The 13,029-nt window shown below is 46.6% G+C and overlaps 1 protein-coding gene across 1 annotated transcript in view, besides 1 other annotated feature; it reads right to left on the bottom strand.

Annotated features, from left to right (window-relative positions):
* The window catches only part of PCP4 (Purkinje cell protein 4), a 61,955-nt gene extending 56,644 nt beyond the window's left edge, over positions 1-5,311 (bottom strand). Inside the window, exon 1 of the mRNA NM_006198.3 lies at positions 5,239-5,311. Coding sequence (NP_006189.2) covers positions 5,239-5,247 — 9 coding nt within the window. The 5' untranslated portion in view covers positions 5,248-5,311. The remainder of the gene's footprint in view (positions 1-5,238) is intronic.
* Positions 3,260-3,413: a silencer, noted in NCBI's record as "fragment chr21:41241262-41241415 (GRCh37/hg19 assembly coordinates)". NCBI's record gives its function as "represses an EF-1alpha promoter that drives an FKBP-Casp9 reporter gene in an ReSE screen in HepG2 liver carcinoma cells {active_cell/tissue: HepG2}" and the evidence as "EXISTENCE:reporter gene assay evidence [ECO:0000049][PMID:32094911]".
* Positions 5,312-13,029: the final 7,718 nt, after the last annotated feature.

Below are 13,029 nucleotides of genomic sequence, written 5' to 3'. Positions count from 1 at the left end.
ACATCCCAAAACTTATTTATTCATTCAGTAACTGGACATTTACCAAGTGCCCAACCAGCAGTCAGACTTGTGAATGACATAAAATTGTCCCTTTTGGGAAGTTCACAGTCTGGGATGCTTCTAATCAATACTATGCAGCCTATAATACTTTAACAGCAGGATATTTAATGTTGTGTTTCATAAAAATATCATTAAATATAACATAAACCTGTATGCATGCATCCCCTAAAATTCTTCTTTTCTCCCAGTATGAAGACCTTTCTAGAAAGTCATTTTAAATTAATGAAAAGCCCCAGGCTTAGGTCCTGATATTATCTGTGCGTCCAAATAGTTCAATGTGTCCAGTGGTCTAAGAACAGAAGGACCATAGACAAATTGTGAATGCCTTCCCCCGATCACATCTCTAATGAAACACTGAGAGTAGAAATTAGAATTTTAAAAAATAACGCAGGTTGGGTGCGGTGGCTCACACCTGTAATCCCAGCACTTTGGGAGGCCAAGGCGGGCGGATCACCTGAGGTCAGGAGTTCGAGACCAGTCAGACCAATATGGTGAAGCCCTGTCTCTACTAAAACTACAAAAATTAGCTGGGCGTGGTGGTAGGAGCCTATAGTCCCAGCTACTCAGGAGGCTGAGACAGGAGAATTGCTTGAACCTGGGAGGCAGAGGTTGCAGTGAGCCAAGATCGCGCTACTGCACTCCAGCCTGGGCAAGAGAGAGAGACTCCATCTCAAATAAATAAGTAAATAAATAACACAAAGAATGTGCTCATCATAAGTTTAAGAAACTTTCCATTACAAAAACATGTTTTCTTTTCATCTTGATCGTACTACTTCACTAAACCTTTAATAAAATCAATAATGAGTCATTTATTTTCTTTTTGAAAAAAAAATATACATCTTGCATTGTGTCATTCTTAAAATTCAAAAGAGAAAACCTGAGACTTTTTAACCCCACAGCATTTCTTCATAGAATGCATGACTGGGGAAACAAGTTTTATGGCAACTCTTAACAATCATCGGCCCTGGGAAACACATATTCCTGCTTAATTTTGACCTCTTCTCTATTAGGAAAAGTTGAACTTCAAACCCAGATTGTAACTGGTGACTATGTGGACTTAATATCCCCAATTAGAGGAAAGAGTATCTTTCATGGTGTTGTCCAACGAAACTAAAACTGATCTTGCTTGATCTGTCAGAGTCCTTGCTGCAGGTACACCCTCAAATGGGGTTATAATTACATAAGAAGTTGAATTGTCATTTGACCTTTGTTGCTGGGTTTTGCAGACCATTTGCAAAACCCACATTTTATGCAGTCACCCTCAGAATCTGTGCTTAACAACTGGTCTAAAATATACAGCTCCTTACAAATCTAATCAGCCACCCATTAGCATCTGTTTGAGTTTACCCTTACGTTGTAAGAAGCTCAAAGCCATAATCTTTCTCTTCTTAGGATCTGTTTCGTTTTAACCTTAGTCCCTCCACTGGGCAATCGTGAGAGTCAACTATGTAAGCCCCAAACCACTGTTGTATGTATGATATTTTAAAATCAGTGGCAAAACATTTTTTTAATTCATGTTTTTTCTATGTCCTCACCTCACGAGTTAACTGCATGTAGCCTCCCGTTTGCAATCTCTGTCAAGAAAAATGCCATTTACAGCTTTCTTCTTCCTTTAGAGATTATTGTACGTTTTAACGTATACATTAAGTTCGACATGGATTCTGTTTGGGTGCTAAGAACAGACATGTGTATCTAAAGATTTACCCTTAAATGTCCTTGATGTTTTTCAAACCATGCCTTTGATGGGCATCGCCTTGCCCTGCGGCCAATGTCTAGACGAAAGAAAGAGCCACAGCCCTTGTACTGAGTTGCACTTTCCCATCCACGCCAAAGCAAGAAAAAAGCCCAGCCCATGACCGTGAAACTCGGGGTTACGAAGAGGCTTTTCCCAAAGGGGTCTCAAGTCCAATTAATAGCTGTCATTTGATTACGTGACCTGGAACGTCTCCAACCCGCACCCTAAACAGGGCAAGGGCGTCACGTTTTTAAATTCACGCTCAGATGTTTGTCCTTATGCCTTCCAACCTTGCCCCTAGCTCTCCTAAATGAGTTCTTTTGAAAAGCAACTTAAAAATAGACACCTAAAGGAGAACGTGGGACTGACTGTCATTATTCCAGGAACTCTTTTTTCAAAAGCTCTATGAAGTGGCTGAACAAAGGTAGTCATTTTTCTTGTGCCTGGGTGAGTACGATGAGGGAGAAAGAATGCACCTTGTAAACTGAGGCTGTGATGGTTAAGATTTCTGATCCAGCTGATAGACTTAAGCCTGCATTCTGATCCCTGCTACATTCTCTTCCAATTCATCTCATAGATTGCTCCAGGCACATCTGACATATTTTAATACCAAAATGTAAATCAGACACCCCCACAAACCACCTCCTCTCTCTCACATTACCCTAAATTTGGACTTTACTTTCCTCGCTGTACTTTACTTTCCTGAGCTGTTCTTTTCTATCACATGTCATTTCCCCTAAAAAGTGTTGTTACAGGAAATAAAGAAGACGTCTTGTTGTAAAGCTGCCCAGTTTAAAGCCAGTTCGAGGCTCCCTTTGCCACTCCACCTTTCCCTTAAAGGCGGGGAGGCCTGGAAGTGCAGAGCAGGCCCCGGGGAGTATATGACACTTTGGGGTCCTCTCCAGCCAGCAGGCTTGCCCACTGGCCTGGGTAAGCAGCTAATGAGCTCCGGAGCCTCTGCAGCAGGCACTCAGCCCTGGCACTGCAGCAGGCACTATTGGCCCACCAGACCCCAATCAATCCTAAGGTCAAGGAAAGTCTGGCAAAATCCATTGCTCTGGCTTTCTTTGGTAATTAGTCACACATGCAAGTAAATGATGATCTGAAAGCCATTTCTGCCTGAGAGTTATTAAAACTAGGAGCCACATTTAATTCATCCAACCAAAGAAACCCCTTGAGGGGTGCCATGAAGGGGGAATCGAGTTCTCTACCCAGAAAGGAGCTTCTGTTGCACTTTACTAAAGATTTTAAGCAGATTTGAGGTTTAGTCAAAGGACAAATTCCTGCTCTCCAAGGAGCACATGCCCAGGAACTTGGAGATCAGCCAGGAGCGGTGGCCATGCTGATGGTCAGAGGGAGGAGGCCTCATGTGATGTGAGGGGGAGAAGAGGGCAGGAGGGAGGATGAGGAGCAGAGAGCTGGGAGGGGTTTTGTGAGCAGCAAGGGGAGGCAGAAAAGTGGGATGTGCCCCTTGTGTGCTTTTATCCACATTAAAGGAACTAAGGCAAGAGCTCCTGCAAGAACCTGCAAATGTGTCTGATAAGCGCCATGGCGGGGCGGTGACTACAGAGCTGCCCTGATTACCCGTTCAGCAGGAACCAGGCTGTGACCCTAATCACAGGTGAGCTCTGGAACACGCGCTTTCTCCCTGGAGACCCGCACAGTTGAGTGAGCCCAGCAGAGCTGAGCATCCTGGAGAGCTCATGAGCACCTTGCTGGCCAGAAGCCTCAGCAAGTGACGGCATGACTGAGCCAGAATCCCAGGGTAGCTGACTTGACCCGAGAGGCCACCCCTCAGTGCTGTGCTGCTTTCTAAGTCCTTCTTCTATAGGAAACTCTTATTGGATAAGTTGTATATAAAGAAAAACCACTCCACGCAGCCATCCCTTCTTGTTGCAAGCAAGGTGAGCTGATGTGGACACAGAAGCTTCTGAAATATCTGTAGAGTCCAGCAGAAAGCCCCTCCTCCTAGCATGTGGGAAATGGAGGTCTCATCCTCATCATTCCATCTCTATTTCAGAGCCCCAGCTCCTTTCTTTCTTTCTCTTCACCTCCCCTCTCCTCCTCCAACCTCTGCCATCCCCTCTGTTCAGCAAATTCCATACACATTTAGACATCAAGATTCACCCGGCAGTCAACCACCCAGCATTGCAGCCCAAGTCTTGGCTCTACTGTTCTTTAGCTGGTGACCTCAAACCACTTAGTTCCCATCTCTGTGCCTCAGTGTCCTCATCTGTCAATTGGGAATAATAATGGTGCCCACTGCACGGAGTTGTTGAGAGGTTCAAAGAAGGTGACAGATGCAGAGACAGCCTGACACTGTCGGCACACAGACCATTAGGCAAGTGTTAGCTGCTGTTACAGGTACCATTGATTGTGGTGGTGGGAGAATTCCCATCTTCCACCCCACAGTTGGTCTCTCCCTGCCTCAAACCCCTGGCTTTGTCCTAAACCCCATTTCTAAGTTTTATAGTGCTTTGCTCTTCTTCTTGTCATGTTTACATCAAAAATCACCCATCAGAGAGATAAAAGCAGGGAGGAGGCATTTTATTTCTGAAGTTGTTAATTTTATCCTAGACTTCCAAGAAAAGAATCATCCATCTGTCAAAAAGAGACAGAGAAGATAAAAGATCTTTAAAAGTAATTATTTAAGTGCCAACCAAGAGGAAATGAAGATGCATTTGGCTCGGTTATTGAGTTGAATTAGAGAATGGTGTTGTACCACCGCTAATCTGCTTCATAGATGAGAAAAAAGGAGAAGATGATTTTAGAAAAACAAACGTGCTGTCAGTTGGCCCCAGTAAAACACATTCTGTATAAACAAGTTTAGAGAAGTGACTTTGGATTTGCAAAATTGTAGCTCTTCTTCTGCCGGGGCCGCCTCCGGTCTTAGAGCCACAGATCTATACACACGGATGTTTCCCAGTTCCTACTACTTTTTGCATTTCTTTCCCTGGTGCTCTGATTAACTGCAGAGGTAGTTTGTACAACTGAGCCATGAAATGCCACCCAACGGCCAGCCCTTTCCCCACCTTGTCCCCTTCCCTTCCATGGCTTGCATTCACCAGATGACCACCTGCCCACTCACATTCTGAAAGGTATCACCGCGGGAATCATGCAAAGACACGCATCTTCGTAAGAGAATAAAACATTTGGCTTTCTCTTCTGAGCTCTAAAACCCAAAGCACTTTTCAAAGTCACCATTCAATCAGAAAGCAAACCTTTCTCCTCCTCAGGCTAATTGTAGAAGTTGCAAACTTAACCAATTTCTGCACTTACCATTCAAACCAAGAGATTAATCCTGTCAGTTCTCCAAGCAAATAATTACAGGATTAATTTGTTCCTCAGCACTGCTAAGTCCCTCACATTTCCTGAGACTAATCCTTCAGCCGAGGTCCCTTCTCACTCCTAAGTTTCCCTCTCCAGGTCGAAGCATCACTCACCTCACTCATGTTGGCTCTAACTCAACAGCTCAGTCCCGCCGCTCAGCACAGAGAACACTGCTCAGGGGTCGCTGCTCCACCGGTTCTGGCTTTTCTCTTAAAAAGAGCTGCCCGGTGGCATCATGCCTCCCTGGAGCCAATGAGATGCATTCACCTGTCTGCAAGCCTGGCCGACATCTGAGAGCACCAGGGGCCACCTAGTGGTGCAAAAGAGAACGGCACGTTAGGTCGCTGCTCCAAATTCCGCCAGGATGGAAGGAAATGCTCGATTTCTTTAAAAAGTAATACACTCCAGCCTGGGCAGCAGAACGAGACCCTGTCTCTTTTAAAAAAAAAAAAAAAGTAAAAAGTAAAAGCTAAAGTTTCAAAGATCATCACAGGGATGCCATTGTGCGTTTTTCAATGAGTGCAAGATTTACATGCATGTAAAATACCTTTCAAATGTCAATGGGAAGGATTGTTTTTCTAAGGGAAGAGGAGCTCTGAAAATACCTGCGTGCCCGCTCACGCACTTTCAGGTTTTCCCAGGAGCTGTGTTTCCCTTGCCCTTTATAACACAAAACTCAGCCCAAGGACTTTAATATCTCTGCTGTCTCTCCCCTATCCCATATCTGTCGCCCTGCTTGTACCCTGAGCTGGAAGGATAAGAGTAGATGGACTGGGACATGGGAATGGGTCCCCACGACCTCAACAAAGGAGGCGAGCGGCTCCAGCAGCCTTGCTGATGTGCCCTCCTCACAACCACAGTGGGGCCAGGAAGGAGCCTGGGCATTGGCCCTGGCCTGGTTGAAGGTCTCCTTGCCTTAGTCCTGTTCAGCTTTTCCGGGAAGAGGTTCCATCCTTTGTTCAGTCCCAACATCGTGAGGCTCTGAAGAGTCTTCAAGGCATCAGAGTGGGCCCTCAACTGTCCCAAAAAAGCGTTGTGCAGACTGAAGGCACATTCACATCTGTTACTCTGCCAGTCCCGGTACAGGACTGAGAGGGTCTGGCGAGAAGATTGAAGCGTCTTGCCACCCGTCCCCAGCACCCCTCATCTCCCTGTGCAGAGCAGGCCACCAGACTCCAGCCCATCAACCCTCTCTCCTCAGCTCAGCAGCCCCACGCCCTCTGACCTGGACTGCCCTCCTTACATGCCCAGGTCACCGATGCGACCACATCCTCAGGTCCACCTTGGACAGCAAGCAGAAGGCCATGCGCCCCCAAATGGGCACCGGCGAGCACAGGCTGCCCTCAGAGGCCTTGGCCAGGAGCACCAGCTGGTCAGCACCCTCGCCCACAGCGTGGGAACACCAGCCAGCAAGACAGAGTCTCATACATGAGTTATTATAAAATAACCTATATTTCACAGAGCGACAGAAATGAACATTATATATATTATATAAAATATGTGTGTTATATTCGTTTCTTTTATATGTATATAAATTATTTATTTACATATCCTGACCACACAAATCATTTGCAAACTAATGAAGACAGCATCCTCCTTCTCTCACTCCCCTCCTCCTCCTTGCCCCCAATGCCACGCTTGGGAAGGCCCACGTGGGATGCCTTTAGGGTTGCCCAGGTGGTTAGTAGTGGGAGAGAAGGAGGAGGAGGGCAGGGTGAGGAACTGGAGCCATAGTGTCATCTGCGATGTAGGACAGATTGACAGATTGGAAGAAGGGTGCTTGCTTATCTATACTAGGAGACACCTGTGATTTCTCAGGGGCAAAAACCACACCCTCCCCAGGGGCCTCCTGCCCTGTTGGGGGCTGGACCCCCACAGCCTGGAGGTGTAGAAGGGGTCTCCCAGTGTGAGCCTCCATGGGGTCCCTGCTGTGGTCCTCCAGGCTGTGCAGAGGGCATGTGGAGAATCAGCCTGTGCTCTGCTGGCTGGCTCTGGAGCAGACCTGCATTTTCTAACAACACAAAGACACATCAAGGGCTGCAGCAGCCTGAGGTTGGCAGCACAGCAATTAGTGCTGAGGCTCCAAGTAGAGGGGCAGGATTGGAGGTGCAGGGCTGGGCTGAGGCTTTGCTGGGTAGACTCAGCAATTCTTTGGGACCAACCAAGGGACTATGAAGACTATTGGGGAGAATGGGTTATGGTCTGAGCTGATTGCCTTCCTCCAGAATTCATACATTCAAGTCCTAACCCTCAATATCTCAAAATGTGACCTTATTTGGAGAAAAGGTCTTTAAAGAGGTGATTAAGTTAAAACAAGGTCACTAGGGTGGGCCCGAATCCAATAGACTGGTGTCCTTATAAGAAGAATAGATTAGGGCACAGGCACTCGCAGAGGGACAACGCTGTGAGGATACAGGGAGAAGATGGCATCTACAAGCAAAGGAGAGAGGTCTCAGAGGAACCAACCGTGCTGCCCCTTGACCTCACACTTTCAGCCTCCAGAACTGCCAGGGGATACATTTTGGTTGCTTAAGCCACGCAGTCTTGGTACTTGATTCTGGTAGCCACAGGAAACGAACACAGATGCCATCACAAGCACACAGAGAAATTTCAGGGAAAGGATAGAATTACCTTAAGGGGGATTTTTCTCAAGGCCTTGTGGTATGCAATTTCATCCTACTTATTTCCCCAGGATATCTTTAGCAAAATAACTATCTCCTGTTAATGAGTCGTGGAGTTGTCCTGTTATAGAGAACACAAAATGAACGTTCAGTATTGCTACAAAGGGAGGGTCAAGCTGCCCTGGGAAATCGGTGCTCGCCAGTGACACAAGACAGGTCTGAGTGTGCAACCCACCAGGTCTCAAATGCAAGCATGCTAGCTGTCAAGAGGCACCCCAGCCTGAACACACATTGCATCCTCTCCCACAGATGGGCCCTGGGACGACATCTCCTCCCATTCATCCTCGTGGGACAGTACTACCCCAATAAGACCAGTTACCAGATCAAGAACGCCAAAGACTACCTGGACCTCTTCATAGCATATCCAGGGACAAGGACAGTCAATGAGCAATCTTTCAACCTTTTCCTGTGGTTCCGATGAGCAGTCAGGTTTGAGACGTGCTGCTTGACACAGTGATACTCTCTCCCTTTCCACCTCCTTTTCAGGCCCGCTTGGCTGTGGTTTACTTTTACACATGTATGTCAATAGCTTCAACGTGCCCCATCATTCGACTTTTCTCAGGTTAGCCAAACACTCTTACGTGACCAATGGGGTTCTGAACCAGAAGCTTAGAACTTGGATCCTAGATGTGAGAAATCATTTTCTGTATGACCTTGGCGAAGTTGTTCCATTGCTCAGTGTCTGATTTTCTCCACTGGTAATATACAAGTATTCAAGCCTTGCATCTGCCAACCTAAGCAAAAATATCTACATGAAATATATTGAGCTGGGAAATAAATTTTGAAGGAACTTCAGAAGAATTAGATCTACAGCTTCGTATATTAGATCTTGGGGAAAACTTCAGCCTGGCTGAATTAAAATACAGACATGTGGTTCTATAATTTATGGAAATGTATATATATAATAAGGACAGATTATTTTCATCTTCTTAGAAGCATGATCCTGCCTGAAGGGGCAGAGTTGGCCCAAGCTGTCTTTGAGATTATTTATAGGGACACTATATATTAATGACCTAGGGCTTTTCATCAGACTTGCATACCAAATGCATCATTTGTGTATAGTTTCTGGAGGTGTGGGGGACTTTGAAAAAGAACCTACCTTCTGCTTCATTTCCTTGCCTTTGCAGACATAGCGCTGTTTTAATCCAGCACAGATGAAGAAGGTGGTCATCCTCCTTGGAACGGAGACTGCACAGCCTGGCCTTCATGGCGAGGCTCCCTTCTTCTACCTTCACTGCTTCCCAGCCCGATGCCAACTATACACTCTGGGTGTCTACATGGGGAGCCTCAGCATCCCTGGCCCGATGGGTGAACCCAGGGGCTCCTGTCTTTGACTCCTCACCTCCTTCCCTGCTGCCCTGAGCTTGAATCTTCCTGCAGACTCTAGCCTGCTGCCAACCACTGGATGTGATGTGGCCCCGAGCCGGGAGGCTATGCAGGTTCTATCCACAGATATGGACATGCAGCCTAATTCTTTAAACCCCTCCTGGAAGGATGTACTTGTTGTAAGGATGCATGAGTATGTGTGCTTGTTTACTCAAGCCTTGTCTCCCACCTTCTGGACTTTAAGCCTCTTGAGAGAGGGAGAGGCCAGGCCACATCACCCCGCTTATTTTTTCATTGCCATGCCTGGCATGATGCCCAGCACTGAGTCGGCACCTGAAACCACTTCTGAATAAATAAATACCCAGCGGTCACTAAGTGTGAATGTTGCTGTAGGAAAGAAAGCTCTTTTGTTCTGTGAAATTAAATTCTCTTTCCCATGCCAACAGGTAAGAATTTTCTCTTTTGAAAATGAGAAAAAAGGGTATTTTAAAATCGGCTGTCAAATTTTAGTCCAGTTTTCTAAAATGTTAAAAAATCTTCCCACAAAACACACCTGTTTTAAACCTAGATAATTGGGTTTTACTGCCTTTCTGAAGAAAAAATAATAATTAACAGAAATATTTGGCTATGGTCTTCCAGGATTTTAGCAACTAATATTGCACAAACATCATTATGCCTCTACATCATACCCCATATCTTCTCCACACTACTGGTCACTCTTAATTAGCCACTCTGTATAGTAGGTGTGTATGTTTTTTTATTTCTTGAAGTTATTGAGAACCTGGTATGCATAACTTGTATTTTCTTTCTCTCTCTCTCTCTCTTTCCTTTACCCTCTATGTCTCCCTCTAATCTGAAATAATTTGGGTTTTATGCATGCAACCTTCCATCCCATCTTCACACCTAGGTGAAGTGACTCTTCCAAAAGGCACCAGCCAACAGGAGAGAAAGGAAGAATATGGGAGACATACAGGGACAGGTAAAATCCATTCGTGATGCTCCTACGGATCTCTGTCTTGTCACACCTTCTAATTCCAAGTGCTACGAACATAACTGAAGCCGCTCCTATTCTTAAGGCTTAAATTATTCCCTATGTATGGATGGAAAGGTCATTTTATAACTCATAGTTCCTTTCAGCCCAATTAAATGCCCAAGCCTGTCCTGCCGATGAGGACTGGCTGCCTGGCCTGCAGAGCCTGCGTGTCACCTCTGCAGCCCCTCTCTTTGATGAAAAGGTCAGTGGGTGTTTGTCTTCGAAGTGCCACTGCAGCTCTGAAGGCCGCACTGTGGGCTGGCTGAAAGGACCTCTCGATTCTCAGCAGCCTGACAGCTTTCAGAATTGGGCTTGGTTGAGTCCTTAATTATTTTCCCTGTCTCCACTCTCCACACAGGTGAACTCCTCCAATTCACTTTTCAGTAATTGTTCCCAAAATTTCAGATCCATGATTCTTTCTGCAGAACCAGCCTGCTCGTCTACAGCTACAGACCAGATCGTGTCCCTGCAAAATTCATATGCTGAAGGCCCGCCCCCCAACACAGCTGCATGTGGAGATAGGGCCTCTAATGAGGTTTAAGGTTCAATGAGGTATATAAGTGTTGGACCCTAATCTATTATGACTGGTGTCCTTATAAGAAGAAGAGCTTGAGACACAGACATGCACAGGGGGACGGCCCTGTGGAGACACAGGGAGAAAAAGCCAAGGGGAGAGATCTCAGAAGGAGCCAGCCCTGGCACCTTGACCTTGGATTTCCAGCGTCCAGAACTGTTAGAATGTAATTTTCTGTTGCTGACCCTCCCGACTGTGGTATTCTTTTAAGGCATCCTGAGGTGACTAAGACCTCTGACCAAGAGCTAAAGTTGGTTTCTGTGCTGGACTCCATAGTGGACCACCCCAATCCCCCACCCTCTGGGGACTGAAGTACTCATTGTCCCACCTGCTGAGAGTGTTGGTGATGGACCCAACTCTCAATTCTGAGCCCCTAAAGAGATTGCTGTCAGCCAAAGGGAGCTATGCAGGGGGCAGAACATATCCAAAAAAGGCCTGGCCCCCTGGTCCCAATTTGGAACAACTCTGCAGAATCTTCCATTCCATCTCCAAAGCTTGTTGTAGGATCCACGGAGGCATTGCTCTGCCTCAATCATGGCCTGAGTTCTGTCTCTGCCCCATCCTGCCCCATTCACTGCCACACAGTATCATTACAAGGCATGGCTCAGTATCACCCTGCATTCTCATCTCCACCTTAGAGGCAGCTTCCAGGAAACTGACCTGACAGTCACATCAGGAGCAGTGGGAGGAAAGCAGACCTTGGCACAGGGCTTGGATCTGGATCACCTGCCAGCCAGCTGAAAGTGTGGACCCTCAGTGCAGCGTGCAGGTGCAGCATGGAGCCCCACTGAAGTGCAGCAGTGTGCAGGTGTTAGGGCGCTCACCCTGGGGAAGTGGGGTGCTATACCTGTGGAAAGCATGCACGATGTGGGAACCATGACGTGGCTGAGTCAGATAGCCAAGAAATATGGGGGAAAGGGTAGTTATAAAGACAATGAAATCATTTAGCTGCTGCTGCGGAAATCAAGGCTATAGACAGAAATAAAGCAAGGCTGGGGGTGATTCATTAGGAACTCAAGGCTAAGTATGAAACCCAGGCCCATTTTGGAAGCTCTGGCTTATTTTATAAAAGTAAAGAAGACTCTTATTTCCTGTGGGCTGCAGGCAGAGGAACCTGAAGAAAGGCCCAAGCCTTATCATGAGCCTAGCAGAACACCACACAAATCTAAATCCTCAGTGTCAGCAGGTGTGCTGGGCCAAGGTCAGGGCCTGATTGAAACAGAAATGGATGCTGAGTCATGGGTGGGTGTGCTTGAAGATCTCAAATTCCCAGATCCCTCTGATGCCTCTGGGCTTGCAAGATTGGCCTTCTCCCTGTCGAAGGCTAGTGCCCCTGGTGCTTGAAGATGATGCAGAGTCTCTGTCTGGTAGGATAATACACACCTATCCCAAGAGAATTCTCACCTTCCCTCATGCCCAACAAACTCATGACTAAGCTAGAATCACCCATAAGCTTGTGGGGAAGAGTTCTAAGCCTGATAGTGGAGGAAAGGGCTCTCCCCAAAGGACCTTCAGGACTTGGCCAACATGTACAAAGAATGTGTAGAAGACTGGAATTAAGCATCAGATCAAGGCAGGAAGGCACTAGCAGGAGCAGGAGCAGGAGCAGAAAATGAAGTTGGGCAAGAGAAAGTTCATTGATACAGGAAAACTATCTGATGATACAGGACTTAACACTTTAGGAAAGACCTCAGGAGAAGATACCTAAAAGCTGCTAGGGTGGCTTTTGGAACATTGAAGAAGATGGTGCCCATATTGACTGAGGCCAAAATGCCAGACCCGCCATGGCAACAAGTGGATGTGGGAACCAAGGGCCTAGAGTTGAGAGCATGCCACAGTGGATACACCATGAAAGTCTGGAAAAGTGCGATGAGGGCATTGCCTTTACCAAAGCAACAAGGGACGTGCTAATAGAGGGACCTCAAAAGTAATGAGTAACACAGTGGTGTCCATCATCTGCAGGACAGGACTGGGCATAGGGGAAGCCACTACAGAACCAGGCTCCCTGATAGCAACAGGCATGGCAGGATCTAGAAATAATAGAGGCTGGGTGGCAACAATCACCCATCAAAAGCAAGGTGGGTGCAATAATCATAAAAGGGCAGGCAGCAGGCTGGCCTTACACCAAGCTATGGTAATAGATGTTAATAGAACACAGCACCCATACCAACAAGACAGAGGGCAGCCAACAAGTAAAGCCCTCAATCTACCCTTGTGGTTCCCAAAGGAGGAGCAGGGCATTTCCTCTTCTCTCCCTAGGGAGGCACTGGCAATGTCTGGAGACATTTTT

Source organism: Homo sapiens, chromosome 21, assembly GCF_000001405.40.
Source record: "Homo sapiens chromosome 21, GRCh38.p14 Primary Assembly".
Taxonomy (NCBI): Eukaryota; Metazoa; Chordata; class Mammalia; order Primates; family Hominidae; genus Homo; species Homo sapiens.
This window is presented reverse-complemented; position numbering and strand designations above follow the sequence as displayed.